Source organism: Homo sapiens, chromosome 8 (genome assembly GCF_000001405.40).
Source record: "Homo sapiens chromosome 8, GRCh38.p14 Primary Assembly".
Lineage (NCBI taxonomy): Eukaryota > Metazoa > Chordata > Mammalia > Primates > Hominidae > Homo > Homo sapiens.
The window spans coordinates 122,458,605-122,481,226 of record NC_000008.11 but is presented as its reverse complement, the minus strand read 5'-3'; the positions used below and the strand labels follow the sequence as shown (position 1 = coordinate 122,481,226).

At 39.0% G+C, this 22,622-nt stretch overlaps 1 long non-coding RNA gene across 1 annotated transcript in view, besides 1 other annotated feature; it reads left to right on the top strand.

Moving 5' to 3' along the window:
• The window catches only part of SMILR (smooth muscle induced lncRNA, enhancer of proliferation), a 154,318-nt gene that overhangs the window by 87,418 nt on the left and 44,278 nt on the right, over positions 1-22,622 (top strand). The window lies entirely within an intron of this gene.
• Positions 13,676-14,184: an enhancer, noted in NCBI's record as "H3K4me1 hESC enhancer chr8:123479282-123479790 (GRCh37/hg19 assembly coordinates)". NCBI's record gives its function as "activates a minimal SCP1, AML or CMV promoter by ChIP-STARR-seq in primed H9 embryonic stem cells {active_cell/tissue: H9 hESC(primed)}" and the evidence as "EXISTENCE:reporter gene assay evidence [ECO:0000049][PMID:30033119]".

The window sequence follows — 22,622 nt, the reverse complement described above, 5'->3', positions numbered from 1 at the left end:
AAGCCAGTGGTGGCAGGCGGGGATGGTTCTAGTCTTCCCCGGGTGAATAGCGTCATGAGCAGATTATCTCATGACAAGGGGAGAGGTGCAGAATATTGGCATTGGAGAAGAAGTACTGGATATAACAAGATCGTAAAGATACGATCCATTGAAGAGGTAGCTATCATAGAGCATTTAAATAATACAGTTTATAAAAATAATTTTTCTTAATTTATGTGGAACATAGGCTTATAAAAGTTACTGATAAATACGTGGTGAATTGCTTTAATCTGTTATATATATCATCTCATATTGCAACCAAATCTGCTAGGCCAACCCAGCATATTTGGGAGTTATTTACAAAACATCCTTAAAGATATTTTGCTTCTATAATAGATCCATATCTTAAGGGAAGAGTAGGCAATCTATCTGATTAAGCTTTATTCTCATTCATGGTTTTAATGATTATGAAGAAATGGAGGGAAAACCTAATTATAGGCCTTTGGAGTTTGCTGACCCAGGCTTAAAAATACCCAAATCTCCTCCAATTCTTTAATTTAAATTGCATGTTCTCCTTACATTACAAAGTTTAATGTAAAACTTTTTAAAGTAAGAGAGGAGCCCATACAAAGTTCAAACGAAGTTCATATAAGTTTTAACCCTCTACTGCTATGCTGTGAAATCGCCACAGGTGAGATCTGAGATCGTCCCAAGTTCAAAAAAGGAGCTACAGAGATCAGTCCTGTCCATATTCCCACCTCCTAGAAAAATAGAAAGTAGTGACTGGTTGATGCAGGCTTTCTTTTTTTCTTTCTTGATTTTGTTTTAGAATTGATTGAATTCAGGTTGGTCTTAGCCAAATCTAAGCTGTGCTTTCTTTTTTCAAAAGCTCTAACAGAATTCCAGAACACAAGGAGAGTTTTGGGGACAGTGGGGTTCTTTGAGAAGTTGGTTGGTGGATGGGTTCGCTCACTCATTCTTTTTCTCATTCATTCATTATTCTTATTTCATATTCTTAAGGAAACTATGAAGTAGATATTACTATATTTATCTCATTCTCACCACTAAGGAAATGAAGCCTCAAATGTTTTGCTTACTCTAAATGAGAACTTATATTTAGCAAAGGGGTTTGAGATTTGGATGGATTATTATAAAGTTTATACTTTTAACCACTACACCATGGGGCCTGAGAACCTCCTATGAGCTTGACACTGATCTAGGTACTGGGATACAAAAGTACTTGCTGCTCAAGCCTTACAGTCTAGGTTTGTAGATAGATAATTATGGTAAGTGCGTGGTAAGTGCTGTGACAGACATTAGGTAGAGAGAAAGTCTTTCTAATTCACTTAGGGTCGGGGGCAGTGTTCACTGAGAATACCTTCCTTCTCAGGGAGGAAGAGGGGTCTGTAAGCTCTACTCAGGGTGGTGCAAGGGCACCATGCGGTGCAATAGTTCACTAAAATGTGTTCCTCCAGTCTAACTGAAACTGTGTACCCTTTCACTATCATCTCCCCTTTCCCCATCTTCCGTTCTCCTGCTAGCCTCTGGTAACCACTTTTCTTTTCTTTTCTTTTCTTTCTTTTTTTTTGAGACAAGAGTCTCGCTCTGTGGCCCAGGCTGGTGTGCAGTGGCACGATCTCGGCTCACTGCAAGCTCCGTCTCCTGGGCTCATGCCATTCTCCTGCCTCGTAACCACTTTTCTACTTTCCATTTCTATGAGACTGCCTTTTTAAAGACTCTCCAATAGGCTTTTAATGTTCTTACCACACACAAACAAAATAATAAATTGATGAGGTGATGTATATATTAATTAGCTTGATGGAATCTTCCTGTAATGTATACATAGATCAAAACATCACATATTACACCATAAATATACACAATTATTATTTGTCCGTTTAAAAAAAAGAAAAAGAAGAAAAAAGAAAAAACAAAAAGAAGAGTCTGTAGGATTAGGGATAGAGGCATATTGTGTCTTAAGACAAGGGAGTCCTTCCCAGCAGAGCTGCTGGAAGGGAGAGTAGGAAGCCCTGGGAAGCAATGACTGTCTAGTGAGAGGAGTTATCAAGCAAAACCTGGAAGATCAATTGCACACATATTTAAGAGGGGCTTCAAGCACTGAATAAATAATTGATTGGATGACTCTTAAGATTCTTTAAAATGCTGAGAATCTGAGATCATAAGGGAGTGGAAGTGCTTAGGTGCACTTCTTGGGGGTGGCCAAATCAGAATGCAGGATGGTTAATCTGGGCAATTTAGCTGTCTAGTTTATCAATAAAGACCAGGATGGTGACATGTTCATACTGCAATATAATTAGTTACTTTCAATTTATTTTATTTCAAAAATAACATAGTATTCGTGAATGAGTATTCATTATTGAAAATTTAAATATTACCAAAGCATATGGAGTCTTGTGTCCACCCTTCCCCTTACTCCTCTCTCAGCCCCACTCCTCACTTCATATCACTATTCACCTATTTCCCTCCCCAGACATAATGACTTTATCTTTTATTACCTATCCATCCACACCTATTTTTTATTAATTTCTGTGCCTACATATGTACATGTACACACACTCGTTCAGCCCTCCAGAAAACATAAATGGGATCATACTATGACTACTATTCATTAACTTTTCATTTAGCACTAAATCATGGAGAGGTTTCCATGACAATGCAATATTCAGTTCCTCAGTATTCAATTCCTCAGTATTCAGTTCCTCATTTTAAAAGTCCCTTTCTTTTAAAGGCTGCATTGTGTTACCTAGTGTGACTATGAAATGACTTGATGGAGATTTCTATCCTTTCCAACTTTTGCTATCATAAGCAATACTGCAATGAACATCTTTGTGCCCAAGTGCAATTATTTTGGTAGGAGAGATTTCACAGATGAATTGAAGTTGAATTACTCATCTAAGTGGATGCACCTTGTAAATTCTAATGGATGTCAAATCACCTTCCAGAATATTGAATTAGTTTATACTTTTACTAACAATGAAAGTAAGTGACCCTTTCTTCACAACATTTACTAACATATTAACAATCCTTAAATTTCTTGTCAATCTACTAGGTAAAATTGATTTCTAATTATTTTATTTTAAATTTCTATGATTACCAATAAAGCAGATCATATTTTAATATATTAGCCGGCTTTTGGTATGTCTGTGAATTACCTCAATATAACTTTTGCCCATATTTGCATGGGAAACACTTTACTATGGAAATTAACCTTTTTTATTTATGCATATGTCCTGGGCACTCAATACATGCTCAAAGCTTTTCTGCTGAGCTTAGTATGAACTGGTCACGTTGGCATGTGGTCTTTCATCAGAAAATAAATATAATGTATTTGTTTATTTTTCTCCTTCTTCCCACATATCAGTTGTTATCAAATTTAAAGAAAAAAAATTATGGTCGATTATAGTAATCAGCTAACTTCAAGCACTTGGAATAATTTGCTGTTGCTTCTTAACTTAATTTCTAGTCTATGCTTTTGCCTAATTGTCAGACTTTGTGGTGTATTCACTTTTACAAGTTGTTGCAAAAATTTTATAAGTTAGTATAAGTATATATAAATTTATAATGGGTATTCCTTAACAGTTTTAGTTTATTATTATAATATTATTATTAGCTTTTATCTCAGATATTTTCATTATGATGTCAGTAGAAAAAATAACAGCAAAGATATAAAATAGAAATAACAAATTACCCTGCCCCGCCACACCCTAGTGCCGTGAGAGCATGAAAATATCACAGCTATGTATACTTCAAGGGAAATTATAAATTGAGATAATTAAACTTCAGATCTGGTTTTGAGCTTTCTGGAAACTAAGGTAAAAAGAGAAACACAAGAGATTTATTTTCTTAAAGTGTCTCCTTCTGGCAGTGACCTCTCCTTTTTAAAATGCCTATTTCTGCTGGCCCACACTGATGTCAATAAACGTTACTCTCAGTTTGTTTCTTGGACATTGGTCACAGCCTCAACTAGACTGAAAGATTTTCTTTTTTTTTTTTTATTATACTTTAAGTTCTAGGGTACATGTACACAATGTGCAGGTTTGTTACATATGTATACATGTGCCATGTTGGTGTGCTGCACCCATTAACTCATCATTTACATTAGGTATATATCCTAATGCTATCCCTCCCCCCTCCCCCCACCCCACGACAGGCCCTGGTGTGTGATGTTCCCCTTCCTGTGTCCAAGTGTTCACATTGTTCAATTCCCACCTATGAGTGAGAACATGCGGTGTTTGGTTTTTTGTCCTTGCGATAGTTTGCTGAGAATGATGGTTTCCAGCTTCATCCATGTCCCTACAAAGGACATGAACTCATCCTTTTTTATGGCTGCGTGGTATTCCACGATGTATATGTGCCACATTTTCTTAATCCAGTCTATCATTAATGGACATTTGGGAAAGCTTTTCAAAGGTAAGAATCTACCTTATGTTTCTTTTGAATCACTCAGGGTAAATGATTAGGAAACCTACATTGAAAAATTAGTGCTAAAAGTACAAAACCATGGGATCCTCCCAAAGTAGAAATCAGGGCCAGGCCTGAAATTGTAATTTCAATAGAAGATAGAAGGAGGTGGGAGGGGAATGGGGAGAACAGTGAATAAATGGCAAGCACCCAGACTTTGCTTTGCATCCCAGCTTGCCTTGGACAAATAACCTAACCCATGTCTCAGCATTCTCGTATTTTGTCTCAGCATATCTCTCATTTATTTTGAAAACTATGTTGTATTATACAGAGCTGTTACAATTATCACTATTATGGAGGTGTTTGGGGGCTACATTGATCCACCACAAGCTTAGATTGTGCATCGTGAAGGTTGATGATGCTTGCATAGTCAACCACTACTCCCACTTCACGCAACAAAAACCTGCCTGTTGAGCAGGTCTTTGAAAGGGTGTGGGAGGTTGTTACTATTTGCTGGGCTTCAAGAAAAATTAGTTTGCCCAGAGGTGTTTTCTATGATGACAGAACTGTATGACTCTGGGTACAGGAATTAAACAGTGAGTGGGGTATACATGTTAAAGTGCGTTGGTGTTGAAAGACATCTCTGTGCTGGGTTGGTTGAGGGTGAATTGTACTCTCTCTCATGCAAATCAGAATTCCTTGTATGTGTTTGGTCCTAGAAATGAATTTTAGATTTTTTTTAGCAGTTTTTAAGAGGCAAGCTTTGGCTTGAGCCTGGGGAAAATTTACCTGGGCTTGTTTGAATAACTGAGATGTGAGTCTCCCTGAACCCCTGATACTTCAGGATCTGATGAGACACATAAGGAAGAATTGGGGAAATTATTCTAGGGGACCAGTTTACCTTCCTCCTCAGGATGGATGCAAAATTCATGGGCTGTTGTAATATTTTTCACTGACATTAGTTTTTCAAACTAGGTTCCCATAAATACAGATGGTTCCTGACTTACCATGGTTTGACTTAGGATTTTTGGATTTCAGGATGGTGCAAAAGTGATATGCATTCAGCAGAAGCTGTATTTGAATATTTGGTGAATTACATGAAGTATTCTATACTTTATTATAAAATAGGCTCATGTTAGATGATTTTGCCCAACTGTAGGCTACTGTAAGTGTTCTGAGCATGTTTAAGATAGGTTAGGCTAAGCTACTCTGTTCAGTAGGTTAGATGTATTAAATGCGTTTTTGACTTAGGACATTTTCATCTAATGATGGGTTTGTTAGAACATAATCCCATTGTAAGTTGGGGAGCATCTGTGTATGATTGAGTCCTACTGAGATGGAGAGGGAGATGCAGTTAGCAGTGTAAGTCAGAGCAAAAGAGACATTCTCTCATTTTAAAATGCTGCAAGTCACCCAGTGGCTCTGCTTTGCCCTCTCAGAAAAAAATGAGCCACATGTTCCCACAGCACTGCCAGGCTTGCCCTCCCGAGGGTTCCCGTGCATCTATGGCAGGGTCTGGTCATGCCTGACGCATCCAGATGTTCTTATTATAGGTTGACACAGCCCAAAGGACAGGGATGGCAGGCTGACATGGTGACACCCACTGTGATGGGACAAAGAGGGAAATAAGACTCCACAGGGAAGCTTTATCTCCATATCTATCTATCTATCTATCTATCTATCTATCTATCTATCTATCTATCTATCTACCTATCTATCATCTATCTGTATATCATCTATTTGTCTATCATCTATTATATTCCTGAGTACATGAGAGATACCTGCTAGGAAGATCCAGAAATATTTGTTGAGACTTTTAAGGGAGCTGTTACCGCATGAACTGTTGGAGTCAAGTTAGAGAAAGAGAGGCCTTAGTTTTTTAGTCCCATATTTAGAGTCAGTGGCTGATACTAAAATTAAGATGGGCTGGGCATGGTGACTTATGCCTATAATCCCAATACTTTGGAAGGCCAAATGGGGAGGATCGCTTGAGCCCAGGAGTTTGAGACCTGCCTGGGCAAGATGGCAAAACCTGTCTCTGCAAAAAATACCAAAAACACCAAAAAAAAAAAAAAAAAAAAAAAAAAAAAAAAATTTCGCCAGGTGTGGCGCAGGCCTCTAGTCTCAGCTACTTCGGAGGTTGAGGTAGGAGGATCACTTGAGCCTGAGAAGTTGAGGCTGCAGTGAGCCATGATTGAGCCAATGTACTCCAGATTGGGTGACAGAGAGAGACCCTGTATCAAAAATTAAAATAAAGAAGGTGGAGCTGTGAAAATAATTAATTGGGAGGTCATTGGGCTGAGCCGACTTCAATGCTTTGAGTTCCTATGTAAGCAAACTGAAACTCATCTCACTGTAAATAGTAAAACAAAACAAGCTTAACTAATCAGAAACGACTAAGCAATCTTTAACTAGGGACTTTCTGCTTTAACCAATCAAATATTTTCTTTGTTTCACTTCTTCCAGCACCTTATAAAAGTTTTACCCTGTCATTTTCTCAGTGGAGTCCAAACTGCCTGTGGTTTGGCACTGACCAATTCATGCATTCCTGTTTGCTCAAATAAACCTTTAAAATGTTAATGTACCTAAGTTTATTTTTTAACAGAGCCTAATGCAATATAGTGGTAAGCCCTAGAGAAAGATGACTAAATTGGAAAGAGAGAGAGACAGAGATAGAACAAGAATTGTCAAAAATATGCATTGTGACTTAAAGTCCATATAAAGAAAAAAATACATTCATTAAGATAAAATCATTTTTAAGATAAGGTTAAAAGATTCAAGAACACTAGTGAAGACCTTAATCAAGAATTATTGGTAATGCAGAGAGAGAGAGAGAATAGACAGAAATTTGAGTTGGACCACCTGGTTGTGTGTGTCTTTGCATAATATCTTAACCTTCCTGTGTTTCAGTTTCAGTATCCTTGTGGAGATCCCCCTGTATTTTACAGGATTGTCGTGAGAACTCAGTATGCCATACTGAAACATCTAGCTGAGTATCTCATGTGAATTATGTGCTCTGCCTTTGTTTTTAAATATTTATTAAAATCCAGAAGGAAGGATGGCCATGGAATGAAAACGATAATTTCTTAATTATCATCAAAACACTTGTTTTGAACATTTACTACTTTTTAGTGATGATACTTTTTAGTGAGGTGAGGGTTGTTACTATCTTTCTTTTGTTAAACTTTTATTTTAGGTTCAGGGTTACATGTGCAGGTTTATTATATGGGTAAACTCTTATCACAGGGATTTGTTGTACAGATGATTTTGTCATCCAGGTATTAAGCCTAGTACTCATTAGTTAATTTTCCTGATCTCCCTCCTCCCACCCTCCACCTTCCAGTAGGCCCTGGTATCTGTTGTTCTCCTCTATGTGTCCATGTCTGCTCATCATTTAGCTCCCACTTATAAGTGAGAACATGTGGCACTTGGTTTCCTGTTTCTGCATTAGGTTGCTAGGGATAATGGCCTGTAGCTCTATCCATGTTCCTGCAAATGACATGATCTCATTCTTTTTTATGGCTGCATAGTATGCCATGGTGTATATGTACCACATTTTCTTTATCCAGTCCAGCACTGATGGGCATTTAAGTTGATTCCATGTCTTTGCTATTGTGAATAGTGCTGCAATGAACCTATGCGTGCATGAGTCTTTATGGTAGAACAATTTATATTCCTTTGGGTATATACCCAATAATAGGACTGCTAGGTCGAATGGTAATTCTGCTTTGAGTTCTCTGAGAAATCACCAGACTCTTTTTCCACAGCAGCTGAACTAATTTTTACACTCCCACCAACAGTGTATAAGTGTTTCTTTTTCTTTGCAACCACACCAGCATCTGTTATTTTTGACTTTTTAATAGTAGCCATTCTGACTGGTGTGAGATGGTATCTCATTGTGGTTTTGATTTGCATTTCTCTAATGATCAGTGCTGTTGAGCTTTATTTCATATGTTTGTTGGCTGCATGTATGTCTTTTTTTTTGAAAAGTACCAATACCATGTCTGTTCATGTCCTTTCCCCACTGTTTAATGGAGTTGTTTTTTGTTGTTTGTTTTTCTGTTTTTTTTTGTTTTTTTTTTTTTTTTTTGGTAAATTTGTTTAAGTTCCTAGTAGATGCTGGATACTAGACCTTTCTCAGATGCATAGTTTGCAAAATTGTTTCCTGTTCTATTGGTTGTCTATTTATTCTAATGATAATTTCTTTTTCTGTGCAGATGCTCATTAGCTTAATTAGATCATATTTGTCAATTTTTGCTTTTGTTGCAATTGTTTTTGGTGTCTTTGTCATGATATCTTTGTGGATTCCTGTGTCCAGAATGGTATTGCCTAGGTTGTCTTTCAGGGATTTTGTAGTCTTGGGTTTTATATTTAAGTCTTTAATCCATCTTGAGTTAGTTTTTGCATTTGGTGTCAGGAAGGGGTCCAGTTTCAATATTCTGCAAATAGTTAGTTACCCCAATACCATTTATTGAATAGAGAGTCCTTTCCCCATGGCTTATTTTTGTCAGCTTTGTCCAAGAGCAGATAGTGTAGGTGTGCAGCCTTACGTCTGAGCTCTCTATTCTCTTCCATTGGTCTATGTGTCAGTTTTTGTACCAATACCATGCTGTTTTGGTTATTGTAATCTTGTAGTATAGTTTGAAATTGGGTAGCATGATGCCTCCAGCTTTGTTCTTTTTGCTTAGGATTACCTTGGCTATTTGGGCTCTTTTTTAGTTCCATATGACTTTTTAAATAGATTTTTCTAGTTCTTTAAAGAATGTCATTTGTAGTTTAATAGGAATAGCATTGAATATATACATTGCTTTGGGCAGTATAACCATTTTAACAATATTGATTATTCCTATCCATGAACATGGAATTTTTTACAAATTTGTTTGTGTCATCTCTGATTTCTTTGAGTAGTGCTTTGTAGTTCTCCTTGTAGAGGTTTTTCACCTCCTTGGTTAGCTGTATTCCTAGGTATTTTATTATTTTTGTGGCAATTATGAATGGATTGTGTTCTTGATTTGGCTCTTGACTTTGATGTTGTTGGTGTATAGAAATGCTACAGATTTTTGTTTGTTGATTTGTATCCTGTGACTTTGCTGAAGTTGTTTATTAGCTTAATGAGTTTTGGGGCCAATACTATGGAGTTTTCTAGATATAGTGTCATGTCTACAAACAGGGTTAGTCTGACTTTCTGTCTCCCTATTTGGTTGCTCTTTATTTATTTCTCTTGTCTAATTGCTCTGAAAAGGACTTCCAGTACTATGTTGAATAGAAGTGGTGAGAAAGAACAACCTTGTCTTGTTCCAGTTTTCAAGGGGAACGCTTCCTGCTTTTGTCCACTCAGTATGATGTTGGATGTGGGTTTGTCATAGATGGCTCTTATTATTTTGAGGTATGTCCTTAAACACCTAGTTAATTGAGAGTTTTTAATATGAAAGGATGTTGAATTTTATTGAAAGCCTTTTCTGTATGTATTGAGATAATTATGTGGTTTTTGTTTTTAGTTCTGTTTATGTGATGATTCACATTTTTAAATTTGTATATGTTGAACCAAGCTTGCGTCTCAGGGAAAAAGCCTAGTTTATCATGGTGGATGAGCTTTTTGATGTGCTGCTGGATTCTGTTTGCTAGTATTTTGTTGAGGATTTTTGCATCAATGTTCGTCAAGGATATTGGCCTGGAGTTTTCTTTTTTTGTTGTGTCTCTGCCAGGTTTGGGTATCAGGATGATGCTGACCACATAGAATGAGTTAGGGAAGGATCTCTCCTTTTCAGTTCTTTGGGATATTTTCATTAGCAATGGTACAGCTCTTTGTAAATCTGGTAGAATTTGGCTGTTACTTTGTCTCGTCTTGGATTTGTTTTGGTCGGTAGCCTATTTTTTACTGACTCAATTATGAAGCTCACTATTGGTCTTTTTAGGGATTTAATTTCTTCCCAGCTCAGTCTTGGGAGGGTGTATGTGTCTAGGAATTTATCCATTTCTTCTAGGTTTTCTAGTTTATGTGTACAGAGGTGTTCATGATATTCTCTAATGATTACTTGTATTTCTGTGGGGTCAGTGGTAATATCCCCTTTGTTGTTTCTAATCATGTTTATTTGAATCTTCTCTCTTTTCTTCATTAGCCTAGCTAGCAGTCTACCTATTTGACCAATTTTTTTAAACCAATTCTTAGATTTATTAATCTTTTGAATAGTTTTAAATGTCTCAGTCTCCTTCAGTTCAGCTCTGATTTTGATTATTTCTTGTTGTGTGCTAGTTTTGTGATATGTTTGCTTTTGGTTCTCCAATTCTTTTAGTTGTGATGTTAGGTTGTCAGATTGAGATCTTTCTAACTTTTTGATATGATCATTTAGTGCTATAAATTTTCTGCTTAACACTGCCTTAGCTAAGTCCATGAGATTCTGGTATGTTGTGTCTTTGTTCTCATTAGTTTCAAATGATTTCTTGATTTCAGACTTAATTTCATTATTTATCCAAAAGTCATTTAGGAGCACATTATTCAATTTCCATGTAATTCTATGGTTTAAAGTGAAATTCTTAGTTTGATTTCTAATTTGATAGTGCTGTTAATCAAGTTTAGCCTAAAGCTGCCTCCTTACATATTTAAGTTAGGCCTAAAAGTTTTTTCAGTACATCATGAACTATAACAAGTGGAAGTGAAAACTGACCATAGCCCACACCTGTGCCAATTACTGAGCACTGGGCAATCAAATGTAACCAACTGTTCAAACCATGTTCAAATAAGGCAAACACCAACCTGTAACCAATCCAGCTGTTTCTGTACCTTGCTTCCAATTTCTGTACGTCATTTCCCTTTTTTTTTGTCTGTAAATCTTCTTCCACCATGTGGCTGTGCTGGAGTCTCTCTGAATCTGCTCTGATTCTGGGGGCTGCCCTATTTGTGAATCATTCATTGCTCAATTAAACTCCTTTAAATTTAATTCACCTGAAGGTTTTCTTTTACTAGCACTGTGGTCCAAGAGAGTGATTGTTATGATTTCACTTATATTGTGTTTGCTGAAGAGTGTTTTGTATCCAATTATGGGGTTGATTCTAGTGTATGTGTTATATGGTGATGAGAAAAATGTATATTCTGTTGCTTTGGGGTGGAGTGTTCTGTAGAGGTCTATCAGGTGCATTTAATACAGTGCTGAGTTCAGGTCCTGAATATCCTTGTTAATTTTCTGCCTCAATGATATATCTAATACTGTCAGTGGGGTGTTGAAGTTTCCCACAATTTTTTTTTTTTTTTTTTTTTTAGACAGAGTCTTGCTCTGTCACCCAGGCTGGAGTGCAGTGGCATGATCTTGGCTCACTGCAACCTCTGCCTTCTGGGTTCAAGTGATTCTCCTGCCTCAGCCTCCTGAGTAGCTGGGACTACAGATATGTGCCATGACAACTGGCTAATTTTTTGTATTTTTAGTAAAGACAGGGTTTCACCGTGTTAGCCAGGATGATCTCGATCTCCTGACCTTGTGATCCACCTGCCTCAGCATCCCAAAGTGCTGGGATTACAGGCATGAGCCACCATGCCCAGCCAAAGTTTCCCACTATTATTGCGTGGGAGTCTAAGTCTCTTTGAAAGTGTCTAGAAACTCGCTTTATGAATCTGGGTGCTTCTGTCTTGGGTGCATATATATTTAGCATAGTTAGGTCTTCTTGTTGAATTGAACCCTTTATTTATTATGTCATGTTCTTTGCCTTTTTTGTTTTTTGCTGGTTTAAAGTCTGTTTTGTCTGAAGTTAGGATTGCAACCCCTGCTTTTTTTTCTGTTTTCCATTTGCTTGGTAGATTTCTCTCCATCCCTTTATTTTGAGCCTATGGATGTCTAAGCACGTGAGATGGGTCTCTTGAAGACAACGCACCAATGGGTCTTGGTTCTTTATACAGCATGTCACTCTGTGCATTTTATTTGGGGCATGTAGCCCATTTACATTCAAGGTTAGTACTGACATGTGTGAATTTGATCCTATCCTCATGATATTAGCTGATTATTATACAGACTTGTGTGGTTGCTTTATAGTGTCACTGGTCTTTGTGCTTAAGTGTGTTTCTGTAGTGCTGGTAATGGTTTTTCCCTTCCGTATTTAGTGCTTCCTTCAGGAATTCTTGTAAGGTAGGTCTGGTAATAAATTCCCTCAGCATTTGCTTGTCTGAAAAGGTTTCTATTTCTCCTTCACTTATGAAGCTTAGTTTGGCTGAATATGAAATTCTAGGTTGGAATTTCTTTTCTTTAAGAATATTGAATATAGGCCCCCAATGTCTTCTGGCTTGTAGGGTTTCTGCTGTTAGTCTGATAGTTATTTGTAGGTTACCTGACTTTTGTAGGTTACCTGACCTTTCTCTCTAGCTGTCTTTAACATTTTTTCTTTCATTTCAACCTCAGAGAAACTGATAATTATGTATCTTGGGGATGATCTTCTTGTGCAGTATCTTACTGGGATTCTTTGCATTTCCTGAATTTGAATGTTGGCACGTAACTAGGTTGGGGACATTCTCATGGATGATATCCTGAAATATATTTTCCAAGTTGCTTACACTCTCCCAATCTCTTTTAGGGTCCCCAATAAGTCATAGAGTTGGTCTCTTTGCATAGTCCCATATTTCTTGGAGGTTTTGTTCATTACTTTCCATTTTTTTCTCTATTATTATCTGACTATCTTATTTCAGAAAGCCATTTTTCAAGCTCTGATATTCTTTCCTCAGCTCGGTCTATTCTGCTATTAATACTTGTAATTGCATTATAAAATGCATGTGGTGTGTTTTCAGCTGTATCAGGTTGGTTATGTTCTTTCTATACTAGTTATTTTGTCTGTCAGCTCCTGTATCATTTTACTGTGAGTCTTAGCTTGCTTGAATTGAGTTTCAATGTATGCCTGTAGCTCAATGATCTTCATTCCTATCCATATTTTGAATCCTATTTCTGTCATATCGGCCCTCACAGCCTGGTTCAGAACCCTTGCTGGAAAGGTGGTGCAGTCATTTGGAGGAAAGAAGGCACTCTGGCTTTTTGTGTTGTCAGAGTTCTTGCGTTGGTTCTTTCTCATCTTTGTAGGTTGATGTTTCTTCAGTCTTTGAAGTTGCAGAACTTTGGATGAATTTTTTTTTCCTTTTATCCTATTTGATGATGTTGAAGATGTGATTGTGGTATAAGGTGGATTCAGCTAACTGGCTTTGTTTCTGAAAGATTTTAGGTGGTCAATCCTCAGCTCTTGACTCCTGGACTGTGTGCTCTGACTATAGAGGACTTGTATCGGGCTCCGACATTGCTCTCTGGCTTCTCAAGGTTAGGAATCCACTGCAATGGGGATAGCCCCTGAGGTGCTTCCAGACTGGTGGTCACTACATTCTGATGGGTGGTGTCATCCAAAGCATTTTGTCATGCTATGGCAGTGGGATCTGTTCTCATCTACATGTGCCAGCAGCAGCGGTAGTGGCAGAGTGTCAGGGTGCATGCTCTTTTGCTGCAGCAGGGTGCTAATTGATGCCAGGGTGCCTGGGGCTATATGGACGTTCACCACAGTGGCAGAGGCAGCATGGCTGGGGCAGTGGGTGGGAGCCCCCTGCTGGTAACTGTGTTAACTGATGGGCTAACAGTGATTTTAGCATGAGGGCGGGGTGCAGGTGGGAGCAGGCCTCTCTGTGCACCACAGGCAGGCAGAGAAGGTAGCTCAGAGTGGGGGAGGGTCTGCTGTTCCCTGTGCCTAGTTCCTGCAAGGGCTGGGTGCAGGCAGGGTCAGGGCTGGCTAGCTCTGTGCCTACCAAGGCTCCAAGTGCAATGGTGGTCTGGGGGTCGGGGAGGTGTGTGGGAGGTGGAGTGCACTCTCTCAGCAGTGACAGGGCAGAGTGAATGCACATTAGGCGTGCTGACTGGGCAAGGAAGGCAAAACCCACAAGCACATACACATGTTGGCAAAGCAATGTGAGGGCTTGCCATGGGCCTGGAGGAAGCTGCAGTGTGGGGAGGGAGTGGGTGGGTTGTTGTGTTGCTGGGGGCCATCCTGCTGGAGCTCTCTTCACTGGTCAGGCACAGTCTGCCAGTGCAGGAGCTATAATGCAGGTCCCTCCCCTTTCCTCCCACCTGAGGCTGCCCTGCAAGCAGGTGCAGTCAGGCTGAGGCCCTGGGAGAGGCCAGCAGGCCAAAGGGGGCTCAGATAGGACTGGCTTCATCTTATGGGCAAGGCCACCCTACAGAGTTCAGATAGGACAGTTCCCCTAGGGCTAAAGTCTCTTATGGGAGCAAGTCAAGCTTAGAGAGATGGGCTTCCTTGGCTGTGCTCCACTACAGATGCTCCCACACGAAACCTCTGGGCTCTGCATTAGCTGGTGTGTTACTCCTATCATTTCTCTAAGCAGCCCTCTCTGCCAACTCAAGTGTCTATGGTGGTTAAGGAATTTCCTCTGCTGGGATTCCAGAGGCCAGTGGCAAGAGCAAATTAGTCCTTGCCAGTTCAATTCACCCATTCCCTTGGGGTCACTGGGGGCCAGGAACAAGTTTCCCAGTGCGCAGTAGTCCTGTGCAGGGTTCCCAGCTTCCTCCCCCTTCAGCCCAGCTTGTGTGTGTTCCCTCCATGCACTCTCAATGCCTTCCCTCTGAAGATCTGTTAGGAGTGCACCAGTTGTCTCAGTCTCTCGGTGGCAGCTGTTCCACCTGGCTGTGTCTAGTCAGCCACCTTCCCTTCTTAATCTCTTCATTTTTGCATATTCGATATTAATATCAAATGTCATGCTACATTCTACACAATTATTATCTTGTTTAATTTTCAACAAACACCAAAACAGCTGGTTCTGTTTTTATCTTCATTCTACATTATGTGTAAGCTGAGCTCAGAGAGGTAAATGATTTTCCCAAGTCATTTAGCAAATTTGGGTGGCTGTGCTGGGTCTGAAACTCATGGATTTTGAATCACACATGAGCTGTGTTCTGTTCACAGAGCATGACTCATGTCAGTCAATCAGAATACAGAAGGTTCCAGAGTATGGTTTTGGACTGTGGCATTGTTTTATTATTTGCAATGCTGATCTTTGCTTTTGGGACTTGATGCAGAAAGAGTAAAATAAGTCAATCCACCCATGGTCACTGTCTGTAAGGTTTGCCTAACAGCATCGCTTACTTCTTAATAATTAAAGTTGCAGCCATTTGATGAGGCAGAGGCTTTCCCTTCACACTGCCTTTCTTTCCTCTAAGGTTTGTTCTAAGAAAATGCCCATGTGGTCTCAATCAGCATTCTCCCTTGCACCTTTGGTTTAATAAGCTTCCGGCATTTGGGTGTGCCTAAAATATTGCAGTTTTTTTAACATTAAAAAACATGTAAGTAAAATATAAAATGAAATAAAGACATAATTAATATCCATTTTTGGAACACAGTGACTAATTATAGTGACACAGGCCTGTGGGGGGTTGAATGTAGCTAATCGTTAGCAGGTGTGTTTGCTGCCAGATGACATCTTTCTTAGAAAGTGGAGTCCAGAAAGCTTCAGAACGTCAGGAAGAAACCCAAGTGATGGGGGGTGTCACACAAGAAAGAAATCCTAGACCTTCACTGTGGAAGATAGAAGCCATTAGCTACATGTTACTGTTTGAATTCAAATGATGAAAATTAAATAAGACAAAAAAAATTCAGTTTCTCAGTCTCTCTAGTCATATTTCCAGCACTCCATAGTCACATATGCACCAGAGGATAGCACAGAAATTGAACCGTCCTTGGGAAGTTCTGTTGGACAGCATGGACCAGATTGAAACAGGTAAGGGATGTTGGGGTGATGAGACAGATTAAGTTAGAATTCTAGCTCTACCATTTTTTTTGCTGGGTGACTATGGCAAATGATTTAATCTCACTCTCCGTCAGCATATTTTTCCATAAAATGAAGAATGTACTGCGTAGTGCTTAGGGTTTCAATGATTCATATACTCCTTGCACTTAGCATGGTGTTTCCTCTTCTGAGAGGCTTCCCTTACCAACCTATCAAATATGGCCACCACATCTGTTACTCTTATTGGTACTACTCTATCATTTTCATCACAGCATTTATCATTTTGTAAAAGGGCAGAGTCCTATCTATCTCTTAGTTGATTGTCTCTTGCCACCACCCCCAATACACACATTGTGTAGTTTTTTTTCCAAACACTAACCAATTCTCTAATTCTCTGACAGCAATAGAGTGGGCAATAATTCAATTCAATTCTGACACTAACTACCCAGGGTTTAAGGGCTTAGTCTTGCAAGAATGCTCCTACTTCCAATGCAAATACAAAGAAGGTGCCCAGGCTACCCACACTTCTGTCTGAGCTGGCTACAAATATGGAGGTTCCCATATTTGTAATGGAACCCTTCTCTGGTTCCATAAATCACTAAAAGGACTCACAGAACTCAAGAATGGGCTTTACTCACAATGACTGGTTTATCATAAAGGACACAAGTCAGAAACACCCAAGTGAAAGAGATGCATAAGGCAAGGTTTCGGGATAGATGTGTGTGTGTGTGTGTGTGCGTGCACACACAGAGGAGGGAGGTAATAGGGAGGGAGTAAGAAGTGGGGTGGAGGGTGGAGCATAGAACTTTGGGTGTGCCACCCTCCTGTATAATAATGAGTTCACCAACCCAGAAATTTCCTTAGATTCCTTGTTTCAGATTTTTTATGAAAGCTTCATTATGTAGGCAACATGACTGATTAAATCATTGGCCATTGGTGATTGAACTCAATGTCTAGCCCCTTTCCTCTCTCTGGAGGCTGGGGACTGAACATTCTAACCCTCTAATCATGTGGTTGGTTTTTGTGGTGTGACCAGCCCTCATCCTGAAGCTGTCTAGCTCCTTCCTTGTTCCTCTCCCACTCTCACCATGAGTCATCTCCTTAGCATAAGCTCAGGTATGGTCAAATCGAACTCATTACGAATAGTAAAATATACTTTTTTTTTTTTTTTTTTTTTTTTTTGGAGACAGAGTTTTCTCTGTTGCCCAGGCTGGAGTGCAGTGGCACAATCTCAGCTCACTGCAACCTCCACCCCCTGGGTTCAAGCGATTCTCCTGCCTCAGCCTCCAGAGTAGCTGGGATTACAGGTGCCCACTGCCACACCCAGCTAATTGTTTGTATTTTTTAGTAGAGACAGGGTTTCACCATGTTGGCCAGGCTGGTCTCGAACTCCTGACCTCAGGTGATCGACCTGCCTTGGCTTCCCAAAGTGCTGGAATTACAGGCATGAGCTACCGCTCCTGGCATTAATAATAAAATATACTTTTATCATTCAGGAAATTGTGTTTTAGGAGCTGTGTGCTAGGAACCAGATTAGGGACAAAGACCAAATATATATTTTGTATTATCTCACACACACACACACACACACACACACACACACACACACACACTCAGAGAGAGAGAGAAGAATGTAAACCTCATTAGAGGAGAGAACTTGTCTGTCTCCATCATGTGTAGTCCCTAACACATAGTAGGTGATCAGTCAATATTTGGTAAATTAAAAAATAGTGAACCCACAATTATTTGGTTGAGAGGCAATGTAATAAAAAAATTAATGAGGCTGGGCACGGTGGCTCACTCCTGTAATCCCAGCACTTTGGGAGGCCAAGGAGGCTGGATCACCTGAGGTCAGGAGTTCGAGACCAGCCTGGCCAACACAGTGAAACTCTGTCTGTACTAAAAACACAAAAATTAGCCAGGCGTGGTGTCAGGCATCTGTAATCCTAGCTACTTGGGAGGCTGAGGCAGTAGAACTGCTTGAACCCAGGAGCCGGAGGTTGCAGTGAGCTGAGATCATGCCATTGCACTCCAGCCTGGGCGACAAGAGTGAGACTCCATCTCAAAAAAAAAAAAAAAAAAAAGTAATGAACATGATGCTAATGAAAATAATAATAGTTATAATAATGGCCGCTTTTATTGAGGATTTTCTGTGTGCCAGGTACTTGTTAAATGCTGAAGTACATTATCACGTTTAATCTTCATGGCAATCTTATCAGGCAGTCAATACTATTATCTTAATTAACAAGAAAGAAATTGAGCCTCAGAGAAGCCCAAAAACTTGCATAAATCTCATACCTTGTAAGTAGTAGAGCCAAGATTCTAACCAATTTTAATTACTTTTTCTTATTGGTACATACTATTAAAAGGGAATATATTTTTTCTACAGAGTCAGGACACTTTTTTTTCCTTAGGTGGATGTGGAGCCCGCAGGAGAGTTTAGAAAACATTCTTCACCTTGGATTCAGTTCCCTCTAACCCCCTCATTGTTAAGACTGATGTACTGACTTGCAATTAGGCTCCTGGGATTAAAAACTAGGTGTTTGTTTATATGCCTTGTTTTTGTCAATGGATTAAGACATAATCAGCATGTAAATTATGGGATTCCTCAAACTGTCATTAGCTTTGTACTCTGAAAATCTTCCAAGTCTCTTCGTTTATGGTAAAATGAAGCTGGAGAGTCCTGTCATATCAAATGGCTATACCTGCACCATCTGTGCAGTGTCCTAGGAGATGCTAAGGGACCAGTCCGCAACGTGGGAGATGTCAGGCCCTGTGGTACCGATAGGCTGCACCCCCTATAAACTTCTTGGAGCCATCCCCAACAAAGAATCCCAGGCAAAATTGCAGACCATATGCCATGGCATCAGAGTTGACTCAGGAGGTTCTGGAGCAGTGCAGAACCAGGAGTTGTGAACTCAACAGGTTGGCAGAGGCCACTGCTAATTACCTAAGTTGTGGCTTCAGAGTACAGCTGGGGCCAGAGCAGGTCTGATGATTTCTGGGAGACAGGTTTTAGCAGAGACAGCTTGTTCTTTCTCAATCCCCTTGGGCTGTGCCGTCTCTGCTTGGAGAAGCACTGGGGTCTGGTGGAAAGGACATTCCCTGCACATTTCTGTGAATGGGTGGGATTTGGGAGCTAGAGAGGAGAAAAACATCTACGGTAATGATGAAAACCTTTTCATTATGGAAGCAAGGCTATTTGAACAGATGTTGGTTGCCTTCTGTTCAAAAGCAAAGATAAAAATTACTTTTCTTCCAAGGAAATCTTTACAGTTCAATTTTTTTTCTTAGAAATAATAAAATACATAAGCCCTATTTAGGGATTGCTATGTGCCAGGTATTATTGAACATGCTTTAAATATATTAACTCAATGAAATCTTAATAGCTCTATGAAATAATTACTACCATTCCCACTTAGAGATGAAGGAATTGTCACAAAGAGGTTAAGTGACAATTAACATTGCTTTCAATCATCAGCCATCTTTCAACAGAACATTTTATTTCCTAGTTTGTTCATACGTAACTTAGAGAGATAATAGTGCCTTTTGTTCTTTCTCTCTTTATTAAACATTGTCTTCTAAGTCAATCTGTTTGACTTCTTCATAGAGGTAATATTAGCATCTTGGGTTGGGCCGTTTTTCATCGCGTGGACTGTCCACTCATTGTAGGGCATTTCACCTTCTTGGCTCTCACCCCCTACAGGGCAGTAGCAAATTCCTCTTGGTTATTATGACAACCAGCCCCCTCCTTCTTACTCAGGAGCCCCTAGGTGGGGTTATTTCACCTCTGGTAGAGAATCACTGAGGTATCGTCTGTGCATTTGCTTTTGAGATATGTTCTTTAGTTGTTTTAAAATACGGTACATTTTTAGCCAAAAATCTTACATCAAAAGTTGACATGCTCCGTCTCCCTTTTGTGGCAGGTGTAGATAATACTCCACATTATGTCTTATCTCCATAACCCTTTCCCCTTGAGTTTAGATCCTAGAGTCTCTGTTTTCAGCCTCAGCTTCAGAAATTGGGTTCCACCAAGAACTGAAAAAGTGTTTACAACCAGGGTCAATTTACTACAATTATGCATGAGATGCCTAGGGCCCGGCAACATGTTTTATTATTATTTTTAAATCAGAAGAAAATATATGACTGCATATATCTGTATGTAGTCTTAATGTGTATATATCTATATATACACATTATATATATATATACACACATTATATATATATACACACATTATATATATACACACATTATATATATACACACATTAAGACTACATACAGATATATGTACATATATGTACATATATACGTATATGTACATATATACGTATATACGTATATATGTACATATATATATATATATATATATATATGTACAGAGAAAGGAGTCACAAATGAAAGAATGTGGCTCTATTTAAAAACACACCCTGGCTTTATGAGCTGCTGGGAAATAATCACTAGACAGGACGCAGTATCATGAATATAACTGAAATATTCAGCTTTGTTGGAACCTGCCAAGATATTCCAAATTCAATGTGTTGTTTAAGAATTCAATGTATCATGAGATTTTTCTATAGCTTTTAAAAGTACCCTGCTATTTAAAAAGTTATGCATATTTAAAAAAGCATTTTTATGACCCCATTTTCAGGTCTTTAAGCCAAGTCCATCCTTACAAGCAACACATCTCAACTAGTCCTTAAAACAAGCTGCAAAATCCAGATGGTGTCTGAGATCATCTCTCAAGTCAGGCTCCCACCACTGTCTCTTCCCACCATTTATATTCTAAACTACGACATTTCTTCCTTTGTTTCAGATTTTGACTCAATACCCAACTTCAATGTCCATTTCTAGTCTTCTATAGATTTTTCATTCCTCTTGATTGTATTTAATAATTAGACATTGGAGTCCAGGTTTGGTTTCTGGCTTTATTCGTTTCTGACCTTGCAATGACCATGTCACAAATGAGTTGTTCCTGCTTTAAGATCCTTCTTCTGTGTACAGCACCCCGACCTTGGGGATCTCCTCTATTTCTCTTTCTACAAAAGGCCCCTGCGTGCTTCAAGCCTTTATTTAAAGAGAACCATTGCAGACTTTTGGGTGCTTTTGTGTGTAGCCTGATGAATTGCCTATGTTAAAGAAGAGAGAGCCTGGAGGCTCATATCAGCATCCTGCCAGGAATTTTTTTAGACAAACATTTTGACCAGAGTTTTATAAATTGTAGATAAAAGGATATTATAATGATATGTTTGCACATTATTTTCCTGAAAATAGAATGTTTTGAATTTTGTCATCCTTCTAGAAAATGTGCATTTATATTGACATTTATGGTTCAAGTCTTGAGATGCAGCCAAACCACAAGTCTAGATTTGGAGCAGTGACCATGAGGCTATGAAGATGGGTGATCATAGTGGGAGAGTAAATCAAACATTGATACTGTGGTTGGTTGACTTGTGCTAAATGAATAAAGAAAGTAATGAGTTGTACATTGTTTTTCCTAAGGCTGATGTAAACCCCCTTTTCTCTCTTGTTATATTGAATTCTTTTGGCTACCAGCCCAACATAAACTGTTGTCAAGGACTCTCTGAGCCAGTGATTCTTAGCTTTGCACTCCACTCCTCATCTTCAGGGCATACTTATGCTTAAACTCCAGGGGTTGGAGTATCATAGAAGTGACCTGCAGAATAACTGGGGAATTTTCCTAAGAGGGCAAGCAGGGATTCTTACATACATTTTATAAATTCTTTTAGGGAACACCATGGATTGTCTTTGGAGAGTCTACAAAACTCCTAAGATTCTCTGTAAAACTCATATGTATGTGTACTTTTGTCCTGTAGAGAAAGCCCACAACTTTCATGACATTCTCAAAGCGGTCTGTGATACCCCCAGTTTTTGGAACAATTGGGACAGCATATGGAAGTATGTAGTGGTAGCTCAGAATTTTGAAGCTGAAGGCTGAAGTCATGTGGCTTCTCTGCCGGGTATCACGGTCTGTAAAAAGGGCAGGGGCTTTCTTACTTATTTTTGTCACCCTCCACTTTCTAGCATGGTGGCTAGACCTAGGACATTGTCACTTTATGATACATTAGCAAATTAATAGACATCTTTGCAGAAGAAAAAAGCCATTATGTATATTAAATGCGCTTTGATTGCTGAAATGTGAAAAAAGATTGGTCTCAGAATTGAGAAAATACATTAGTATAAGCTTAATTATTCTTTGTTGAATGGATGAATAAATACTTGGTAACCGCCATGAATAATCATAACCGTTATCTACCATTTCCAACATAGTTATTACATGCCAGGAATCTCACTAAGTCTGTTACATGTATTATCTCAATTTTGGGGGTTTTGGCATTGCGTGGCAAGTACTATTATCTCAGCTTGACAAGTGAGAAAAATTGAAGCTTAAGAGAATAAAATTTTTTTTAAAGATTGTAGTACTCATAAGGACAGAATTTGAACTG